A 24,607-nucleotide genomic window follows, 5' to 3' on the forward strand; every position below is an offset into this window, starting at 1 on the left:
AGTTATATACTTCAAAAAAAAAACTTATCCCACATCATTGCCAAATAATTTATTTTTAAGCTTGCTGGTCTCTGAAAATAAAATATATCTGTCTTGTGTTTGTCATGTATGGTGAACTTTCTACTCAGGGCTTACTTGTCTTCTTTATTATTGAAAAACTGTTGTTTTATTTTCAATCAATGGGTGTTCATCCAGTGTCACCTATTTACAATATCAATTATAAAACTCTTTAATGGCTAATAAACATGATTGTCTTGTTATTCTCAATAAAGGGAAGCTGTTCCAAGTCTTTGGCCAAATTAACAAAAATATCATGAAAATTTTTTGCCAATCTATGATGTCACAGAAGTTTTCTTTTTAAAACATCATACATTATCCTAATGCATACTTTTTATAATAATACAGATCACTTCTAAATGATTGTCTTTAAGATTTGCATAATTAGCTAAATTAACACCCTGAATTTGGTCATGATTGCCAAATTTGAAGGTCTTACTTTCATTTTCATTGAAGAAGTTTGAACTCATTTATTCTCTTTATAAAGCCTGAATGCATAATCAGTTTCCAATTTGAATAAGCAAACTGGCCGACAAAATTTTGCAAATTACTCTAATAAGTTCTCTTGGTATTTCCCACAGAAGGCTGAACAAATGTTGACAGAGGAACACACTGTTTGCTTATGTCTAATCTTCCCATCTGACTTATATAAATGTCACAAATGAATCTCAGACATGTGCCCAATATCAAATATCCATACGATGGCCCTGGAAAGAGGCAATCTACATTTATGGCTGATGAGAAGATGGATTTTTAGCTTGAAAGAAACTTATTACTGGGGAGAGGAAGTATAAATGAATGGAGAGAGCTATGAAGAGGTTGAGAGAATACAGCCAAGGTCATTTTCTCTTTAAATGCTGTGAAGTAGGCATTGTTATAAAGGCTTTGCATAACTCTTATGTAATCTTCACAGGCCCCTTAGTCCATGAGGAAATGGGATCTTAAAGTGGTCAGTCAACAGCTCAAGTTGCCACAGTGGCAGAACAACTGGCAGAGTGGGATTCGAACCCTGCTCTGTTATCCCTGAAATTTTGATTCTAATTACTAAATCATACATGTATTTAGATAAATTAATTTATTAACCATTATTCTTTTAAACTAGGTGTTATAAAACTATTAGCACTGTTAGAGTAGTAGATAATTGCATCTAAAATTTTAAATAAAATCCTCTTATAAGTAAAATCAATGATGGAATCTAATGCACTGAGGGGGAAATAGTGTGAAACCTCTAATTGTTCCTGAAGTGGGAATGGCCTAAATTTGTTAGAGATGCCTTTTATTCTTCTCTGTCAGGATAGAGCAACTCTTTTAAGATCAAGTAAAGATTTTAAAGCTGGTATTTGGGAAATTCAACAGACCCTTTTAGAAGAAGAGCCCTTTCATGATAGCATGCCAGGTAGAGGGCAATGGAGATGCAAAGAGGAAAATCAAGCACTAATAGGTGTTCTCAAGGTAGTTCCCTTTTGTAGTGCAAAGCAGGCCTTAGAAAGCAGGACCTTGCCCAGCAGGATGACCCCCTACCAGCCTGGTGACTGTGAGCATCAGGCCAATCATAGAAGAAGATACTTCAAATGATTTTACCTTGGGAGTGGAGGGAGAGAAGCTTTTGTACTAAAAGCCAGTGATTACACTGGGAGAGCAGTTAGAGGAGCCATTAAGATGTGTTGAAAACAATAACCCCAACAATTTCTTTATAAGAGAATATAAAGGCCACTGAAAAATAATCTTTTAGATGCAGCTTCTTAAAAACAATCAGTCAATCAAGTGATAAACATGTTTTGGTACCAAATTTCATTTATTATTGTGTTTCTCAAAAGGAATAATTAATTAGTATTGGCAAAATTAAGAAGACTTAGAAAGATATGTTATGGATGTAAGTGTGCATAGTTTTGTGTTTATAGTTACATTTGATAATACGTAACTGTACAAGAAAATCAGAGGGGAAAGGAATAGTAAGAAAATCGGATGAAGCTAGCTGTGGGTATGCTGTAAGAACCTGGGTATTTCTTTTGTTCTTTTACTGGATCATGCATTTACTCAGCAAATATTTATAGAATGCTACTTAGGTACATGGCACTCCTCTAGGCACTGGGGTAGTTTGGGTTGGTTGAACAAAGAAGAGACAAATGTCTGTTTTCATGTAAATTACAGCACAGGTTGGATGCGAGAGAGCAGTAAACATAATACTTAAGTAAATTATATACATTTTATGTAAAAGGGTGACAAAAGCTATTGGGCAAAATTATTCAGTAAAAAGGAGACTGGGAAATGCAGGGAAGGGGTGGAACATTTTTAAATAGGGTACTGTTTTGTTCATTAGGGAGATAACTACATTCTTGTTCGTCTTCCAGGCACATGACAGAATTGCTCTGTTGAAGTTTTGCAAGGTCAAATGACTCACTTTGTCTAATGGAACGGGAACGAACAATTTTTTTGTGTCACGTTTGAACAGATACCTTTGAGAAGTTTATGATTCTCCAAGTTCTCTTTCTCCTACTGTGGCACCTACTGACAAGATAAATGTGTAGAGGTTCCTGAGTCTAGGGGTAAGGAAACAAGAAGCAGTGCCCTGTGCAACCCTGATGTAATGTGAGCAAGAAATGCAAACCTGAAAATTCTGTTACTGTACTATTAGTGCCCATCCTGATAAGTATAGAAGGTCATAGTCAATTTTAAATAGTTGCTAAAATTGTGCTGCCAATTTGTTTCTTAGGCTGTAGTGAACAAGTTTCCTAGGACACTGTCTTATGCATTTCTTATTGTGAGATATTGAAAGCAAATTCATAGTTCAAAAACAAAGCAAGTCTACATGGGGACAAAATGATGCAGCTACATATTTTGTACAAAGCTCTGTGCTAGACTCTTGTCTTAAACTTCTAGGAATTTACAATCTAATTAGAGAGAAAGGACCCCAAATGATACTAAAATAAATAAATAAATGGAGCTTATGCCAGATGAATTGTATCGTCAGGAATCCAGAGACAAATTGATTTCTCAGAACTGGGGCATTTCTTCATGGAAAAGGTTGGAGTTAGACTCATCTCTTTCCTGGGATGCTGCTGTTACTTTAATATCCCAGTTGGATTTAGTGACATCTGCAAAGGCTCCATGTAGTTAATAAGATTAAAATCAAGTTTTAGTCTTCTGTCAACAGCTTGCTATCTAGCCTCTTCATTAAGGAAAGGGGGAAAAAAGTATCTGAAGTCAAAGTTGACTCAGTGTTGTATCATCAAGTCAGGGATGCAAAAGTGCCACATGTTGCTAGGCATGAGTAAACTGATTTTAAATATTCCTCACAATGAATAAGAGAATACGGCAAATCTGTTGGATGAGGAAAGACTGCAATGGCTTTTAGTTGTCATTAGTACCATGGTAAGTTTAAAAGAGAAAGTAAAGTGAACTGAAAGTAAAGATAACTAGAGAACATCCATCAAATGACAGTTATGAGAAAGATAAAGAGAAGCAACAAACAATATCTAATCTAATTATAGCTTTATCCACATGAATACCGTTCCATTTTGTTTTAATTTTGCCAAAAAAGCTAAAGTAATAATTTAAAAATACCTGTTAAAAAATGGAAAATGAAAGATTGAGTTTTTATTACAGATTATCCTATCCTCCCAAGAATGCAGTTCTGTCGCAAAATTTGGCCATACAAAACCTAGATGTATATCAATTAAAGAGGTTTCCCCACCATAAAGCACGGAAAATGAGGAGGACCTGTGAGCCAACTCATCTGGGAAAATATGCTTTCCATAATTAAATATAACATGCTGCCTCACCCCTGTGTATGTTCTTGACTAGACAGAGCAATTCACACGGTGAACTGCAGCGTCTTGGTGTTGAAGGAAGTCTACACAGTGGAGTCGAATATAATAACAAACTGAAACCTTAATTAGTTGAAGTAACAAAGGCAGTGGTACACAGTTATGCAAGCGTAGAGTTTGGCTGTTCATTTCTTCTTAAGAGAATCTACATCAGTTATCTTCAGAAACGTATTAAAGATTCCAGGTAGAGAATAGCATTGAAATCCTTCACTGGATTTCTTCTGGAAGTCTAGGATCATTCTGAGGATGCTTGGATGCCATTTCAGACTTTTCAGAATTTATACCATTTATTTCATTAGATATTTCAAATTCCTGCACCTTCTGCAGTGTTAATAGAATTATAGTATACAGAATGGAAAACAACAATTAAAAATTAGAGTTTCAGTGAGAACAACAGAGATAAAAACAGCAGAGTCAGGTATTTATTGAGTTTTACTCTGTGCCAGCCACTACGCTAGATGCTGAAGATATAGCAGTGAATATGACAGTCTCTGCCTTGATGGAGCTTGCAGTTTTTTCTGAGTGGCTGCTAACTTGATTCTAAGTTATCTCCTTAATTATTTCAGTATCTGAGTGGTGTTGCAATCTGCAGACAACTTGTTCTTTGTCCTTGTCACTATGGAAATAGTTATAATCGGATACTGTATCTACCCCTAGTCTTCTGTAATTCATTTTAACAATGTGCACACATGTTGATTTGGAGAAAAAGAATAACAATCTTTTGAAAAAATGGTGATCCTAGGGCTACGACCTTTTAAAAACTTGGGTCTCCATGAACCCATTAAGTTGGATACAAGACTCAACTTAGTATAATAGACCTTTTTCACTCCTGTTATTACTAGTACCTTAAAGTCTAGCTTTCTTACTGGAGTGATGTTTGGAGAGAGAAAGCTGCATCACTTGGTGAGTAAACTGAAATTATATAATAAATAGAATATGCACAAAATGGGGATGCATTGAAGGACTCTGATCATACTAATGGCATGATTGTAGCTGTACTTTAGGAAGATGAATGGATTAGAGTAGAAAAAAGGAGAAATACCAGTTAGAAAATTATTATCTTGGTTCATATGACAAATAATAAGTCCTTGGATTAGAGTATATATATAAAGGATATTAGGAAAAATGATTATGGCCAGTTTTTACCAAATTAATGTTAGAGATGAGCATTTTATGTATTCTCTAATGGTTAATAGTAAACTCTTTGGAGATTGACAGACCCATGCTCTATTTCTGATTCCTCCATTTCCTAGATGTGTGACCACTTAAATTATTTGAATAGCAGCCCCCTCACCTGCAAAATGGTGATAATAATACGCAAGTAACACAGGCACTGAACAGAAATATGATAATTTGTGTGAGAGAGTTTATGGTGCCTGGCACACATTATGTAGGCACTAAATGATAGCCCTTAGTAAAAGAAGTAATAGTGTTGTAGCAATATTCTAAAATGCTATATTCCTAGGTATAATCAATATCCAGGACTTGAAGAATGTGTTTAGTATATTTCATTCATTCATTCGGTAAATATTTACTTTCTGTATGTCCTCCTTGCTGGAGGCCCTGGACAGGCATTTACTTAACAAAACACTCCCAAATCCCTGACCTCTTGAAATGTATGTGCTAGTGGGAGCAGATAGTTTATAAACCACGGGTATAATAAATAATTAAAATATGTGGCATGTTAGAATATGATATGCACTATGAAAACAATAGAGCTGGGGAATGGTGATCGAGAGTACTGGGAAGTGCAGCCTATATACATGCCTGGTCAGAGTAGGCCTCGTTGAGAAGTCATGATTGACAAAAATGAGGAAAAGAGTCATGTGGTATTTGGATAAAGAATGCTGCAAGCAGAGAGAGTGTGAAGCACTGAGGTGGAGCATGTTTGGCTTATAACCAAGGCAGTAAGGAGGCTGGTGTACATGGAGGAGAGTAAGCAAGGGTTTTGAAAAAGGGTTGCAGATAAGTCTTGGAGATGCAGCATGGGTAGAAACCCACAGGGGTCCACGGACCATAATTTCAACTGTTGATCTTGTTTAATAAAACTGGATGAGAGCAGAGCTTAAATCCAGCTCTGCAGAGTGGTCTAAAGATTCAGAGAGCATTTCACAGAAGATTGTCAACTCTGTAGTATAAATTGTGGGCTAACCTTAAGCCGGTTCTTACACAGATCTGGAAAGCTTTCTCATAATTTTAATGGATTTTTGTTTATGTCATGGCCAGAAGATTTAGCCTCTGTCCATTGTCAACATTTATGTAGCAATGTTAAAAACATATTCACATACATTATAAAGTTAAATGAATGAAAAATAAAACAAAATTGGCCTATGTTTTCTCAGAAGTCATGCATTTTGGCTCAAAGCTGAAGGTTGGATTATTTTGTGAGGTTAGTCAGTAAGTTAAATTTAGAACTAGAATTTTGTGAATGAATCCCAAGGCTGTGTTGGAAGTCTTGAAGATGTGAGAGAAATGTGCCTGAAGTCTATTCATTTGCTAAAGTAGATGTCATTGCAAGGAAATGAAAAACAAAGAAAAAATGAATCCCCAGAAATTATGTAATCTGCGTTATACATGTTATCTATCATTTGTGCTTGTATTTCAAAGTCAAATTTCAATAATGCTTTAGTAACAATATACTAAAGGATTCCTTCATTTTTCAGTGTCATACTTTTTTAAAAAGAGGTTTTTAATATGAGAGGAAATTTTAACTAGTGAACTAATTATTTTAATTTGATATAATTTTTCTCATTTGCATTTTTGACAATTATTTATGACTATTGATAATTAGAGGTTGTATGTCTTTCAGAATACTGTAAACAGCAGCATAGACATTAGCTGAATCATTAATTTCAACTGAGGATGAAACATTTTATACTTTTGACCTTTTATAAAATATTCTTCTATTTGAAGCAAATTGCTTGTCAAAATCATAGCTATTTGCCCAATTGGTATCTGGCATCGCAAATGAGCTCTTGACTTATATATAGCACATTTAAATTCTAAGTATTTGGTGGTAACCATTGAAAATCATCCTCATAAATCAAACTTCATTGGCTTTGTATATTTTAAATGGAGTCATAGAGCACATTGTAAATAATAAATTGTTATTACATTCTAGTGAAAAATCCTGTGCTTTTCAGCATGCTTAATTATTACATCTTTTACCATAGCTAAAGGTGGAAAACTTACTTTATTCTCCAAAGACAAGACAATAAAATAGAGGCAGATAAAAGTAGATTCAAATTATTCAAAATAATATTATACAAATATAATATTAACAACTTAAAATGATCCAACAGTACCGTTTGCCTTTTCCTTAAACCAAATTTAATGTCTTTGGGGAAAGAAATGGTATATATATTTAGATGATTATTTTGATGTTTCATTGGTCCTTTTGATTTAGTTTGTTAGTTTAGTCAGTAGTGCTGTGAGCTGTGTCTAACTCTAACTATTAATGAATTTTCTTATTCATAGGTGAGTCTTGCATATCTGATGAATCCACCAGTAAAAGTACCACTGCTGAAATCACGCAAATATATTTTTTTAGACCTTATCAACCTTGGCATGGAATTAGATGAGCAAAAAGCTGAGTTGAATTGATGAAAAGAATCCCAAGTCATTAATTACTAATGATGGAGCTTGTAAAGTACAGCATCACTGGGGAAAGCAACTGACTTTCCTCATACACATTATATTTTTATCTGAATTTCAATACTGCTTAAATATGTACTTCATTACAGGGCACAACTAAAATAGAAGGGCACCTGCTAAGTCAGAGCCATAAAACAGATCTACAGCCTGCTGGCATGTGAAATTTCTCTAATTTATATTTTTTATGAAACTACCCTCACATTATGTGGTTGGCAGCATAAATAATAAAGCATGTTACTGAAGCAATTTTACATTTACTGTATTAGTAAGTAAATGCAATGGCCACTCTTATTCTCAAATAAAAACTACCCAGCCTTTTCATGAAAGATGTTTGCAATTTCCATTGGCCTGTATATGCAATAAAAAGCCATAACTCATCAAAATTTCAGCTATTTTCTCTTAAGATAGAAGAGCATTTTGCTTGAACATTGAACGTGATATTAAATATTCAAGAAACTGAATAGAGTTTAAGTACTAAGTAAAACTCTCAAATTCTTTTCAACTAGATTGAAAATCTGTTTGAACCAGGTAAAAACTGCCGCTAACCTGAAGAGGTGTTCAAAAACATCGTAAAGAGGTTGTACAATATGTTCAAAGTGCTATAGTTATTTGGGATTGATTTTTCTGAAAAGCTTGTTCCTCCTTTGAAATTGATTCATGATAACAGCCTCCATTTGGGTCAAACAGTATTTAACCGCTTGTAAATTTTAATTAAATGATTTGTCACTTTGAACACATAGTTTGTCATCTTGCAACTAAACGATGTGTCTTTATCAGAAAATTACTCAGAGGGAAGGCATTTATCTAATTTGTCACTTGGACACCCATTAAGATAATTTGGTTGTTGCATAGGGATAAAATTGAAATTTGTAAAATAGAGCGCACCACTTTTAGTAAGCAGGATCACATTGTAAACTATTAAAAAAACATAATTTGCTCTGTAATTAAATTCTAATAAGGACTTTACTTCTGGTCATTTTTCATTAACAGATGTTTAACTTTTTGAGAAAAGAAAATCTTCCAGCTGAATTTAGTATCTACAGGAAAATAGGGGGCTGCAAATGAAAAGCAATAAGCTGAATTAGGATTATCTTGGGGAAAAAGCCCTTTCATCAGAAGCACTTATATCATCTCAGACCCAGCTGAGACCTTGTCTGCAGCCTGGTTAATACCATCAGAGATAGCTTGGGACAGAGTGAAAGGGACAACTTATGAATTACTGAGGAAATAGCAGAGATCATAGATCTTTCTCTAAAGAAGGGTATATCTGGTGAAAATGTAGATATTAAAATACATTAATTTTTGTGTCCCCAAATTATTAAAAAGGTAGTATGTCTCTGAGAGGCTTAAGTCAAGCATGCTAAGTTAATTCAGTAATCACTGTATACAAAAGTAGAGTTGATCTTTTTCCACACTGAAATAGTGGTGACTATCCTTTGTTAATATAACCCAACAAAGAGCAGATATGTTAACCAAAATTACAAAATATGGACACATGTAATTTTATTTTTAAACTGAAAAGTAAAGTCTTTTTAGTCTTCCTACTCTCAGATAGTCCTGAAAGGCTTGGCCATATCAAATGTTTGTGTGAAATAAAGGGACTGTGGTCCTTATTGGTCATATCTTTTTTCCAACCAAGGTCTAAGTTTCTTGAAGTCAAGGGCCAAACATTAGATGTTAGTGTTCTTCTGTAGGGTCTATATACTCAGAATGCATCAGCATCACCTGGGCAGCTTTCGAAGCATTCTGAGGCCCAGACCCTATCTTTTTTTTTCCTACTATCGAAGTTATTTATTTTTTGCATGTTTATTACAGATACTGACTTCACAAAATGCAACCCTTTGTATGTGTTTTAGGTACTTTGTAGCTTAAGGAGTGGTCATTGATAATATGCCTCTCGATGTTGATGTTTTATGTGAATGACATGAAACGCTATTAGGCTAGGACATTCCTAAAAGAGTTTTCATAAAACACTAATATAAACAAAGAAAATTTAGCATCCTCCTTCTTTAATGATATTTATGAATTATATACCTGTTTTTAGAGAGAATGTAACTTAAGGATATATCTCTTCAATGTATGTTCAGACTTCATATGACTACTGCTACAGAGAGAGTTTTTGAGAGATGAGTGCTTTTACTGCCTGATCCTTGTCAATTTTATGTGCAGGTTCAACTGTTGTGTAGTAGGGCCAGGCCTTGGTATTTTTGCATTCTATTTTGCAGCCAGGGTTAAGAAGCATTGAACTAACACAGGCAGTGTTCAAACAATGTGTAACAAAAGGTGCAAATGTCATACAAGTTGCGAGAAGGATCTGCTTCTGTTAGAAGAACCAGCTATAGTCATTCAGATTTAAAATTCAACATCCTGAATTTCTTTCTAACTGATATACTTTAACTTTCCCTCACGCTACCACTACCAACCCACCCAGCTGTTTATTTTTCTTTGATTTCCCTTTTGCTTCTCTCCTCATTTTGTTTAACATATTCAGGCACATTTACTAATTGCTATTGCTAACAACTTCCCAGCTAATGCTGTTTTCTGTCTATCAGGTATCTTTTTATTCCATTCATAAATGCTGGAAAAATCTTTATAAAACACAATTCTCATCAAGTTATATTCCTGCTCAAGAATCAATTCCTACACAGCTTACTAGCTATATTAATGTGATATTACTATTCCATTGTCTTTATTAACGTAAGAAGACTCTTGCACAATAAATAAATTAAATATATTGTTCATTACAGGAACACATCAGCTCTTCAGTAAAACATCAATGGTTTATGTCCTAAGACTTTTTGAACTCCTCATCTCGAAATCCTCAAAATATTCTCTTGCTATGTTCACCAATCTTAAATTATTATATTGTGATTCTTAACTAATTCTAACCAAGTCCCACATTTAAAGATGCACCTTGGCTCACGCCTGTAATCCCAGCACTTTGAGAGGCCTTGGCGGCCAGATCACCTGAGGTTGGGAGTTCAAAACTAGCCTGGCCGACATGGTGAAACCCCATCTCTACTAAAAATACAAAAATCAGCCAGGTGTGGTAACACCTGCCTGTAGTCCCAGTTACTCAGGAGGCTGAGGCCAGAGAATCATTTGAACCCAGGAAGCAGAAGATGCAGTAAGCCACAGGACTCCAGCCTGGGCGACAGAGTGAGACTCTGTCTAAAACAAAACAAAACAAAACAACAACAACAAAAAAAAAGACGTACTTTTAATCAAATGTTAGGTGCTCAATAAAATCTGACCTTAACTTCCCTGCCCAAAACAATACCAAATCAGTTAAGGCAGTCTCCTATGTTACCCAGAAAAGCCACAGACTCAGCACTGTCTTGATCAACAGATTGTGTCAGTGACGTTTGAGGAGCCAGTATTCCACAGTCCCTTCTTCACAACAGAACAACGTCCCGGTATTCCTTCTCAGTCTGGCATTCCTGACCTTCCAGAGGCTGAACCCAGCTGTCTTTCTTATCTTATTCTCTATTCTTCCCTTTTACCTCCCCTGTGTTCCAGACTTTCTGGGCAAACTTCTAATCTCTGCAGTCATCAAAAGTCTTCTGATCACATGTTGTTCTCTCATACTGAAATCCCCTTTCAGTTTAGTTTTCACTAGAACCAACATTTATGGGAAATATACAACTAAACATTTGAGATTGGATGATCTCTACGATCTCTTTGAGTCTTTTTACTTTAAGATCTATCATTGAGTCTGTACAGGCAGTGATAGAAATAGTAAGAGATGGAAGGGATATTGGCTAACATAATGGAACGGTATTGATTGAAATAGAAATATGTCTACTACAAAATTGTCTGACTGGCTATCATTTTTTCCTAATTTGGAGATATTTACAAACTTGAATTTTCACTTGTACCTTTCTTCCACTATTTATTGATAGGCCTGCCTAAATACAGCCTTACTGAAATCTCGATATATGAACTTTTTGATTCTCCACCCTCCAGGATCATGATTTTGGTGTAAAAGATGAAATTCAATTGGGCTACTGGGACTTGTGTCTCATAAAGACATATTGATTTTTTCTTAGTACTCCAAGATATTTTAGGGACTTGAAAATTGGAAGCAACTTGATTTATCTACAGCTCCATTATCTTTCCAGGCACTGGAACCAGCTGACTGATCTATGGAAGTTCCCTTGGTCTCCATTTGTTTAGAAAAGGTGATGCATCAGAAACCTTTCCTTACACTGTATGATAGATGGGTGGTGGGAAACAAAATCTACTTTTGCTCCATTCTGATACATGAGAAGAGAGTATGTTTATATTCTCTCAGTGAGAATTCAGACCCAGGTATCACTTAGACTTCCATTCAATAAAGTAAAAAGAAATTATAAAACATAAATAGGCAGAAATAAAATTAAAAGTATACATATAAAATATTATATAAAACGTAAATATACAATAATTGGATGTTCTAACACTGAAAAATTAAAAGATTAAAGATGGGATAAAGTTAACTATGAAACAATGGGACAGAAAAAAGTGAACCATGAGAGAAATTCAGAGCGAAAGTGATAAAATAATTTTAAAAATGTATGTATCTGAATATATGTGTAGTTAAGAAAAACAGAGGGTAGTTTTAAAGGCTTTAGCACTTGTCTAAAAGAAATTTCACCAGAAGAAAATGGAATAACAGGAAAGTAATACCTGATAAGATAACAGTTGAGACTTTCCCAGAATTAAACATATAAGTACTAAGATTGAAAGTGCACATTCAATACCAGTCAGAATAAATGAAATTAAATACTTACATATTTTATAACATTGTAATGAACTTGCAAAGAAGTATAAGAAGAAGATCTTAAAAGCTAACAGAAATAGGGCATGGATTACCTAAAAGGGAACAACAATTAGAATGACAGCAAATTTCTCATTAGCAACTAGTGGATGTCAGAAGATAATGAAATTATAGCTTCAAAGTACTGAGGGAAAAATCAACCAGTGAACCTGTCAACCCAGAATTCTACATATCATAAAACAACTGGGAGTAAAAGAGTTAACACTATACCTGCAACTTGATCTTTTTTATGGAGGCCATCCAGGGAAAATGAATGACCCTCGGTGTACTTCCTTATAACCATGCCAAAGACCTTCAACAGACCTCTATGCAGTATAAAAATAGTATTTACTACAGATAGGGAGTTTTTATTGAGAACATATATTTTGTAGGATATATTTGTTGTAACTAGATTTCTTATTTTCAATGAACCTGGACCTTATGGATGTACGGGGCATGGCTTTTTGGAGAATGGGGAGCAGTGGGTGGTAGTCATCAAAATATTCCCTTATCCCTGTAATTATAAGAGTATAAAACAAAAGAGCTCCAAATTCCTAATGGCTTCCTTTGTGACTAGTGTGCATATATTGCTTAATACTATTCTGTGTGTCAGAAATGAAAACACATCCGAAAGTAAGAAAAAAAAATTTTGGAAGCTGCATTTGGTCTTTAGTTCCTGCTGGAAATAGATGTCTTGCCTGAGCCTGCTGCTTGCCTGTACCTTTTGAATCATTAATAAAGTTTGGCACTGGGTAAGATCTATAATGTGCAGAAGTGCTCTTTGACTGTTCAACCCATTGGGTTAACACAACTATCATTCAAAAATCCTGGACAAATTTCCAGGCATACCTAGGGTAAGAAAGTTTGTCACCCACAGACTTGCACTGAAAGAAACTAAAAATATTTATTAACAGAAAGAAAAGTGAACCCAGAGGGAAGGTGAAAGAAACAATGGAGAACACAGAAAGTGGTTTATTTTCATAAAGTTAATTAACCATGGAATAAATAAAGAAAACAGGAAAATGTGTGTGTGTGTGTGTGTGTGTGTGTGATTAAAACGGCAAAATATAAATTTAAAACAGCATGAGGAAGACTGTGTCTATGTGTGACAATGAGAGAAGAAATTGTTCAGGGCCAGGAGGGGTGGCTCACGCCTGTAATACCAGCACTTTTGGGAGGTCGAGGTGGGTGGATCATTTGAGGTCAGGAGTTCGAGATGAGCCTGGCCAACATGGCAAAACCCCATCTCTACTAACAATACACACACACACACACACACACACACACACACACACACACACAATTAGCCAGGCGTGGTGGCAGGTGCCTATAATCCCAGCTACTTGGGAGGCTGAGGCAGGAAAATTGCTTGAATATGGTAGGCAGAGGTTGCAGTGAGCCAAATTGTACCATTGTACCATTGCACTCAAGCCTGGGTGGTGGAGCGAGACTCTATCTCAAAAAAAAAAAAAAAAAAAAACAAAAAAACAAAACCAGAATAAATAAACCATACTAGGTTTTCCATCTTGCTTGGGAAGAGGTTACTGAATATACTTATTTAAACTTTGTTAGAAATATTTGTAGTTAACATTGCATGCTCAAACGTAAGATAAACCACTAAAAGAACAGAAATATGAAATCTATAGCTTCCACATTAACAGAGAAAATATTTGAAATTAAAAGTTAGGAATTCAACAAGGGTCAGGTAAGAAATAAACAGAAAAGAACATGTAAAATTTAAAAACACAGCATCTATCTTAAAATACATATTCTTTATGGGTACATATAAACATGGTTAGAAAAAATACAACCTAAATTCAGGATGGGAGGGTGTAGGAGACTAGGATAATGGGGACTTAAACTCTACTAGAAAAAGAGACTGGAAGCAAATAATAGCAAACATTAACATTCATTAAGCCTGATTGGTGCAGATATGCATTTTACTATATTATTCATGGGCTTCTCTGAATAATTGAATAATATGCTTTTTAAAAAATGAAAGTATATTATTTTCCATATATGGCTATTGAGTATTTGAAAAATGTGATTTAAACCCCATTGAATAATAGGCACTTCTTCAAATAAGTTAAAAGGATATTTGCAAAATATTCAAAGTTTATGTCACAAAAGATATCTCTTCCAAATAAGAAGGAAATATAAAGAATTAGTTATGTTAATCTGAGATTTTTGTGATAATAAAACATACTTGATATATTTGTACGCTAACAATATGTAACTGTAATTTTTTTCATGTGTGCAATAAATGTTATTAATAATATTTTCCCATTTAAAATTTGGTCAAAATTATAGAAGTTAAAACAACAACAAAAGCCATAGCCACAATTTTAGCATATCTGAGTACAGTGTTCATTTAAAAGATTTAGAAGTAGGATGAGAGATTTCACACATATTTGCTTAAGCCAGAATAAAACATTCCTAAGAAGGTCGTTAGGAAAAAACATTATTCTTTATTGGATTAAGGAACTAATCTCAGCTTAAAATTTAGGTCAATTAACAGCTTATATTCCTTCTTTCTCTCTGGCAAAAATTTATTATCTAACTTACTTAATTTATATTCTAATAATTTAATGCTAAATTTTATTCTCATTTTTTTCTAGAGACTATAATATCTTCAATAATTATTTATTTCATTGATGTTCACTTGTATAAAGCATTTAGCCTTGATACACAAAACTTAACTTAGACTCCTATCATAGTAACATGTGTTTGGAGTTTATAAACTTGATTTATCTTTTGAGAATTCTGCCTAGAGATTGTGGTAAGATGGTTTTCTGATGTGGGTTTTTTCTTCCTTCTACATTTTTCTTTAAAGAACACTTAAATACTCTTAATATGTGTCATTTTTTAAAAATAAAATTAATCTCATCAATCTTTCCTGATATCAACCTGGTTTATCTAAAGAAAATATGAGTTATCTGATCATATTATAACTAAACAGCAGGAAAGAAAGAATTTGAAGACCCCACTGAAGCTTTAAAAGATTGTAGAATTATTTCTTGACTTGCATCTTTCCTTTCTACCTTCAACTGTCATTTTTGACAACAAAAATTAAAATCAATAAAATAAGCAATATATGACTATTCACATTTTATCTGGTGTGTAAATAATGTAACCTTTTCCAAAGAGAGGTCTGGCCTTTGACCTTGGCTTCTGGGAGGTAATCTTGAAGTCCTGGAGTGTGATGCTTAATAAGATAATCTTTGTTTGCCTGGGGGCCTTAGGCCAGCCAGATAGTAACGTGTGGGGTAGGAGCTTTAAGCCACAACAACCATGTGATTTAGGCTGTGGGCTTCAAGTCACAGGGTATCAGCTGGACCTCCTGAGGGTCTGAAAACAGATCAGCCATTTAGGTGACCAACTGTGTCTACATGATGGAGCCTCAATAAAGGCTGTGGACACTGAGGTTCGGGAGAGCTTCCCTCATCTGGCAATACTCCAAGAATGTTGTTACATATTAATACTGGGACTACATGTTATATATTAATACTGGGACCACTATGTAGACAATGGAAGCTCCATGTTTGCAACTTTCCTGGACTCTGCCCATCTTCTTTTGGCTGATTTTAATGTGTACTGTTTAGCTGCAATAAAGCATAACCAGGAGTACAACAGATTTCAATTTCTGTGAGTCCTTCTAGCAAATTGCCAAAACTGAAGATGGCTTTGGGAACATCCAAAGTTATACCAGGTAAAATAAAAATATTAAGGCATGCAATTATAAGTTTATATTTCTTACCATAGCTTGTCTACAAAGGAAAAGTATTGTTGATTATACACTTAATATGTACATGGAGAAGAATATTGTCAACAAATCAATTTTAATTCTAATCAAGTATTTTGATGAATATTCCACATATTTAAAAATTGCTTAACCAGTGCAGTTTAAAGTGTTTTTAAAAAGGCAACCTTGCTTAATATTGGTAATACAAGGTAACTGGCAGATATTTCAAAGACTACTTTTATATGTGTTTTACCAGTAATTTTGTTGACTTTCACTGGAAATCCACCTTTATGGCAGAAACTCTGGCAGATGCTTTTGTTCAGCAGGGTTTTTTTTGATAACTATGTATGAAAAGCTATTTTTTCACCTTTCACAGGGACTGGTCAAAGGCTGACGTTTGCTTTTGGTGACATTGCATTAATTGTCTCCCATGAGACTGCTAGGGTGCTGAAGGCAAGTTAACATTTCTTGACTCTCACCTCCTCCTGAGTCCATGATTCTTGCCCTCCATTAGTACTGTTTATGCCTGCAGCATGGCTGCCTGCTACCTTCTCTGCTTTGCTGGGACTTCCTCTTTCACCTTTTACTTAGTCATGTGTACTGAATTGATGAGAATAAGTGTCCAGTTGCTTTAGTTTAGTTAGCTGTGGTTGATGTTAGATGGGCAGTGGGGTGCTTTAAAGAAAGAGTGGGTTTGTAGAAGGTAAATCTCTTGCTTGAAACTCCGTGGCCCTTTTGTTTGAGGCCTTATGTTCACTTAGTAGATTATTGCTGCTTCATTATAGTTGTTTTCTGTGTACATTTTGGCCTTTGATCTTACAAAGATCAAATTACTTACAAAGAGACTGAGCAGATATCTTAATAGTCAGACAACAATGCTTCACTCTTGGATTTTTAAAAAAAAAAATACATAAAGCTTAAAACCTGTAGGAAGCCTGAGGGAATGAGGAATAAAAAAATGCTGTGATCTTGTACTTTTCTTGTATTACTTTATCAGTGTTTTCTTTCCCAATAAGCCAAAGATTGTCTCTGTTTAATTGTTTTTTCATAGATGAATGTATATCTTTTTCCCAAGATGAATATATGTCTTTCTCTTTTGTCCCATTTTACTTTGCTCTGTAGGAAATGACACTCCCTCATACCATTGATTTTGCTATTAAAAGACACAGTTACTGGTGTGTCTGTGTACACATGTGTATCGAATAAAAATACTAGGACTGTTCTAAAATAGGTAAATGCTAAACATAGTATTCTCTTGATTAAAATCCTTCAAAATCCCCAATAGCAAGTGCAAAACTTCAGATCCTTGGCATGAAATTTAAGGCATTTTATGGTCTGGCACAGACCCGCTTTTCCAGCCTCATGAGAAGCAGTTCACAGTCACAATAATTATTTGTGAATACACTGACACTCTCCACTATCATACAAAACAACATTTTTTGTAGTTGATAGGTTAAGACCTTGAAAAGGATTTTTCTTTCCTTTGGCCTTCTTAGTGGCCGTCTCTTTCTCCATTGCCCACAACATCTTGATATTTTTATTTGGACCCTGCACTCTTCTGTTCTTAGTTTGGGTAGGAATGGTCCCCTGCCTGACTTAACACATCAGCATATCCTATTCCTCTGGACATAGTAAATAGTTAATGAACTAAATTTAGGTCACAGAATGAAAGCAAGTCCCACAATATCTGTAGGAGAATCTAGAAGCAATACTCTTCCCCTCTTGCTTTCCCCCAATGGTACTGTGCCAGAATGGGAGGCCTGTAACTGGGTTATTATTTTGCTACTATGGAGACAGAATTAGAGTTTTGGTGTGTTAGTAGTGGTGCCTGAGATGAAGCTGATACCATGGATGATAGATAGGGAAAAAAAAATCTTTCAGTGACACATAGAGTGACACTGTATGAGCAGTTAGATCAAACCTCACCTGAATCCAGTGCCTCTGGTCTATGCAGTTACACAGACAATATATTCCTTTTCTTAGGCCATTTTAAGATTTCATCTGACACTTAAGTGTATAGTTATTACAGTCTCACAAACCACTGCTTAAAATTTATACAATGTGCAACATAAGTTACTTTATTAATAAAATGTTTTTTTCCATATGAAATAGGCAGAAATGAACATTTCACTTTACCATTACAGAAATAGCATAAAGAACCTCACCAGTCTTTATGAATTTACAAATCTTAACTTATCCCAAGGGCTGATTAGCTGTGCTCATCAGTCGACGCAGCACTAATGTTTTTCATTGTGCTTTTTTGGCGGCCTGGATTCGTTTCCTACTGACTTATTCTTGTCTATTCCTTGCTTCACCTGCTGCATCTCTCTTACTCACTTATGCACTACAGCAATACCCTGACAGGGGACTGAAAAAACAAATCAGAAAACCAGCATCCCATTTTAGCTGGTTGGATATAATCCAAATAAATTCACTATCCAGTAGAATCAATCAGTAGAAAAAAGTCATTATAAAAGTATGTCCCACTTGCTTGTTTTCTCTTCCGGACAGGCTAAATATTTAATAGGAATCTAGGTGTTATTTATTCATTTCTATTAGGTCCTTCTGACACCCAATCCTACATTGTGATGGGCAATTAAGGTAAATATACGCTTAAGGGAGAAAACTTTGCTTCTGGGAAACTGTTTTCGCACCAATCCCAGTCTAATTGAGTTATGGCTTAAACATCTCTTGCATAAAATCTTTATTTATAGGTATTAGATCTACTTTAAACTATTTGTATTCTCTCATTCATGAGAAAATCAGAGCTTCTGGTTTGTAGGGAATCTTTTTTCCCTGCCAATATGCAATTAATATTGTTATCGATTTTGTTATCTACTGTGGTGTTGTTGCTTATTAAAGTTTCTTAGTAGTTCCGTGATTGCTTGCCTGTAAATAAATCACAACTACACAATTGTTTAGCATGCTTTAAGTACTTGCACTTCTTTTATGTGATTCATATAAATTTTACTTGGTTATGAAATTTTCATGGGAGGGCTCACTTGTAAATATTTTAAGGCTTTTGAAGCAGTGGAAATTGGATAATTAGTATAGCCTGAAAACAATGAAGTTGATAAATTACATTTCAACCAACCCATGTAATTACAGTGGCCATATTTCTCTAACTCCTGATAACAATAGTAATAATAATAGCCAATATCTACTGAATGTTTACTATGTGCCAGACATTGTTGTATGTTCTTTACTTGGAGAAATTCATTAAAGCCTCAAAACAATCCTGTGAATCTGGCAATATTATTTTCCCAATTTTGGAGACAAAGAAACTAAGGCCATGGACGTTAAGGAGCTTGCTTAAGGTTTTAGGGTAATAAGTAACTAATAAGGAAAATTGCAAGTCCCAACCCTCTTACTTTGTTCTGTCCACTACCCTTCCTCCTTTCCTCTTTCTCCTTTTCTCTATCTCTCTTCCTTAGATAGCATTTATAATCTTCCAAGATTCTCTATGATTTGTTTATTAATTGTGTTTATTGTTTGTCCCCTTCTGCTAGAAAGGGAGCTCCATGAGGGCATGGATCTTTGTACTCCAAATTTGGAACAGTGATGGCATACAGTAGATAAGCAATTCATATTTACTGAGTTAATGAATGAAGTTGTAGTATTAATATTAAAACACATGATGTCTGTTGTCAGAGACCTTACTTCTATCTATACCACTATGCTGACTCAGAATCCACTGACAGAAAAGTGGAATTGTGCCCTTTGAGAAACAAGAGATATTTACAATAATAACTTATTTTACAAATCTTGGCCACACTAAGAATTATGCTTAATACCTTACATACCTAATCTTTAATTCTGTCAAAGAACCCTGAAAAATAGGAATACTTATTCCTAGTATATAATTAATAAAACAGGGGCTCAGAGAGGTGAAATAACTCACCTAAAAATTATATAACTAGTAAAGATTGGGTACTGAGTCTGATCTGCACTTTTCACATCCAAATTGTAGTCTGATTCTATTAAATGTTAGTTCCTTTATTTTATATAATAGCTAATGCTTATTAAAAGATAAGCATTTTTATAAATGTTTTGCATGCTTATTTCATATAATGATTTCATTTCATAACTCCATTATTAAGCCTTTACCAGGCAAGGAAATGGATGTATCTCTTGCTTGAGGTCACATAGCTGGTCAGTGGGAAAAGCATTTTGGAAAGCTTAGGCCCAGGCCTTTCCATGCTATCTTTTCCTGCCTTCCTCCAGAAGCTCCCCACAACTTGGCATAGTGGGTGCTCAATTGGTGCTCACCTATTTGAAGGAACTGAAAAAAAAAACTGATAGGTTTAGCTTCTATAGACAAACACTTTTAAAAACTGTGATCTTTTCTCTCTACCATAACCATTCTCTTTACACAATGATTTTTCAAGACCTAAATTGTTTAGAGTACTGCCACCCTTCTGTTGGCTTTGTCCACATATATTGAGTATATATACGTGTGAATCTCTTTGCTTCCTCATATTTTCCCCTTTAAAACGGCAACAATGGTAACACTGAACCATACCTATTGAATATTAAAATAAAACAAAATTCTTGAGCCAATTGGTGTTCTTTGGAGCATGATTTTTATACGAATAGTCTAGATTTTTCCACCAATTAAGATTTTAGTAAGTATTGCATATTCATTGTATGTTCTTTCAAAACACAACCACTTTGTAAATATTTTTGTTAACAGATGATATAGAATCTTTGGCACTGATTTTCTTAGTCTTTCATTTTATTTAAGCATTTTTTGAGGTGCTATTTTTAAAATATGAACTTTTAGTTTAGTTATTTACTTCCTTTATTTCTATTGTTTGCCTGGTGCAGAAATGCTTTTTAGTCACTTTTTAGGCTAAAGTTACATTCATGCCTTTGGTTTAAAATGTATTAATTTTCCTTTGTTTCTCCCTTTTTTATTCTCTGAGCTTTATTTTTCTCACTTTCTCTGTACTTTAGTTTTTGGAAACTAGCCTAATTCTAAAGACCAGGAGCCCAATTTCTACAGCAAATCACAAACCACTGAGCTTTGGGAGTAATGTACCATCTCATTACCAGCACTAGGTCTTTTGATATTGATGAAACACTGAAACAAGAGCAATGAAGATTAAACCCCTGCTTATTTTTTAAAGCACTGTTAACTCCTCATACTGATACCTCTCTACACTAAATAGTCAAAGACAGAAACAAAACCCACACCACCAATAGCTATTCATCTTTGTTGTTGCCAAAGCAGAACTATATTAATATTAAAGAACTAGCTTTGGAAATAGTGACAAAAAGGTATTTTGGGCTGAGTTGATGAGAAACATCTAGCATGTATAGAATTTTTTTTAACATAGCAGGCAAAAAAAGCACCTGCCACAGATAATCTTTCTAAACAAAGTAGAACAAACTGTTAGGTGGTGGAAAATAGTGAAGAAATATGTTTACCCGGCTCACAAAATCTTTTTTGATTAAAAAATATACATACACTTGTCAAGAAAGCAATCACCATTTTAAACAAACCCCAGCATCAAATGATATGACTAAGATAATTTTTATGCTCTTTTCCATTTTTAATTCTCATTTATTTAATCTTCCATAAGAATTCATGTCATTAGAGGATTTTGACATTGTTTATTATGGAATAACAATGTTTTGATATTTATTACTTTTAAAAGCCGCAAAATAGCAAGTCTTCAAACCGCGTAAGGCAAATAGAAGTTATTTTTATTAGGTTTATCTCAATGCCTGAGTCACATATGTACTTCCCTTAGTTCCTGTGGGCCTAAGTGTTATTAATTCATTAGCATCAAATGTGCATTAATTCAGCAAATAATTGACAGCTAACTATATACTGCCTGTATTAGGTGCTGGGGACAAAGTCATGGATGAAGCACTAACGATGAAATTTACATTTTAGTTGAGGAGGGCAAAGACAATTAAAATACAATAATTATTCTATATAAGTGAGATAAAGAAATGAATTAATCATTAATCAGGGATGGGAAATTAAGAGTGGTAGGTGGGATGCAGCTGGAAAGCGGATAGTCAGGATAGGGCACACCCATTGGGGACATCTTTGCAAAGACTTGGAGAAGTCAGTGAGAGGCCATGTGGATATTTGGGGGAAGTTATGTTGCAGACAGGGAAACAGCCAGTATATTTAAGGCAACAAGACAGAGTCCACCAGGCATTGCATTTTCTAGGAATAGCACAAAGCCCAGTTTGATTGAAGAAGAGTGGCAAACAGAAAAAAAAAATAGAAAATGAAGGCAGAAATATGACGGTATGAGACCATGTAGGGTTTTGTAGACTGTTTTACTCTAAGTGAAAGGGGGAACATCTGGAGAGCTCTGAGGAAAGGAATGACATAATATAAGTTATATTTTAAAAGTTAGGAATAGAGTGTATGAGGGCAAGCACAGTAACATGGGGCCCATTTAGGAAATAATGGAATAATTCATAATAGAGATGATGGTGTGAGTATTACAGGTTAAGCTACAATGACTGAACTGCACTCCAATGAGGCATTTGTGTGTGTATGTACATGTGCATGTATGTGTATGTAGATCTATCCATACAAAGGTATCAAACTTTTAAGTCATATGTGGCTCATAGGTTTTATCTTCAATGCCAACTCTTATCCACTGGTAGTGGCTGCCAGGTGTGCCCTAATGAGAGTCTAATGTCATGTTCAGGCTCAGAGAGAAAGAAAGAGCCCCATAATTATGAAAGGCAGCATTGCAGCAGTGATGTCAGGTGTGTTCCATCTCTGTTAAAAGGCAACTGTCAGTAGTTGATTTTAAGTAGCTAAGACTTTCTGGCTTTTGGCTTCAAAACACATAAAATAAATGAAAATGCCTAGCATTTAACAGTAATTTCTATAATAGCAGTATCTAAAAAGGTTTTTAAAATGTCATTTTCACTGAGGATTTTTTTTCACCTAGATTCCTATTCCTTAGAAGCAAAGAGTGAAAAATGTATAGATTATTTTCTGTATTCTCTGGAAAATAACTGGTATGCCCTTGAGGAGTATAAATTTGAAAACCATATGGGTTTTCTAGGTAAACTCATCAATATTACCATATTCTACTTATTTTACTTAATCTACTATGGATTTTAGGCCTTGATTGAAAACTAGTTTGCAAATATCAGCTTTTCATTCTATTACAGCTTTTCAAATAGGCTTTCTCTACACCAATTTTCATGGTGATTTCGAACACTCTAAAAGTGACTACATTCAGGCACATGAATAAAATACCAGCTGGATGTTAACCTCTGGTATGATTGGAATATTATTCACCTTCATGCAAGACTTTTTTTTTTCATCTCCAGGGTCAACTAATTTTATTTATTGTTATTGCCTGTAACCCTTAAATATATAAGAATCTCCATATGCATCTATATAAAACAAAGCCTTGAAAGTGTTCCTTCAAAATAGTGATCATTTGCATTTAGTTGGCAGTACAAATTTATCTTTCTGTATAATGCTTCTACATCTTTAAAAAGCCAATATCATAAATGAGATTATCCCCTTAGAAAACAATCTCAGACTAGAATAAATCAAGATATGGGAAACTTACAAATAGCCTTTAATTTAACGAATATTACCAGAAAGTGTGTGCAACTGAAAAGTTCTAAGACAATAATTTATTGCTGAATTCGCAATGTAGGTTTTCCTTTTAAAAATGTATTATCAGCCTCTATCCAATAGTATTAATAATCTTCCATGCTTTTGTGGCTGAGCAAATGCATATAAGATCATATAAATCTAAGTGTTCCAGTCTAACTCCTTCTTTGCAGGGATGAAGAAACTGAGGCCCACAGAAGGTGGGTGATACCTGCAAAATCACAGTGAGTAAAATGCAAATACAAGAAAGTACTTCCAACTCACTAAGAGCTCTTTGTGATACTACACTGATTTGGTTCAAATTTTTCCTTATACAAAACTCTGTCTACAACTTCCATGAGAAACTGAATAGAATATAATAAACCTCTAATATTTGAAGATGATAATTTGAGGTTTTTTTGGCTAATAAAAACATCTACAGAGTGTTTTCTAACAGCAGACACAAAAGTTACTAAATAAATAATTGTCCCCAAGCTTGAGGGTATTCCCATGAGATGATTGACCTTCATAATTTTAGTCTTTGTTTAGTTTAGATAATTGTGTGTGTGAGGAGGTAAAGAAAGGAGGAAAGGCAAATTCACCCTATTTCTTATGCTCCTCTCCTTTGGCCTTATTTTTTTTTATCATAAAACTTTATTGGATTGTTTTAACTTTTCAAAAATAGACTTTACTTTTTAGAAAAGCTTTAGATTTGCAACAAAAATTGAATGAAAGACATAGAACTTCCCATATACCCCCTTATCCCCTATGCATAGAATCCCCGATTATCAACATCCCCACCAGAGTGGTACATTTGTTACAATTGATGAATCTGCACTGACACATTATTATCTCCCAGAGTCTCCAGTTTATATTAGGGTTCGCTCTTGGTATTGCACACTATCTGGGTTTGGACAAGTGCTTAATGATAAGTTTCT

The 24,607-nt window shown here is 34.6% G+C and overlaps 1 protein-coding gene across 1 annotated transcript in view, besides 1 other annotated feature; it reads right to left on the minus strand.

The window, feature by feature from the left end:
* The window catches only part of NEGR1 (neuronal growth regulator 1), an 886,597-nt gene that overhangs the window by 64,980 nt on the left and 797,010 nt on the right, over positions 1-24,607 (minus strand). The gene's annotated exons all lie outside the window — the stretch shown is intronic.
* Positions 1,384-1,954: an enhancer, noted in NCBI's record as "OCT4-NANOG hESC enhancer chr1:71927989-71928559 (GRCh37/hg19 assembly coordinates)". NCBI's record gives its function as "activates a minimal SCP1, AML or CMV promoter by ChIP-STARR-seq in naive H9 embryonic stem cells {active_cell/tissue: H9 hESC(naive)}" and the evidence as "EXISTENCE:reporter gene assay evidence [ECO:0000049][PMID:30033119]".

The sequence above is a fragment of the Homo sapiens genome, chromosome 1, assembly GCF_000001405.40.
Source record: "Homo sapiens chromosome 1, GRCh38.p14 Primary Assembly".
Taxonomy (NCBI): domain Eukaryota; kingdom Metazoa; phylum Chordata; class Mammalia; order Primates; family Hominidae; genus Homo; species Homo sapiens.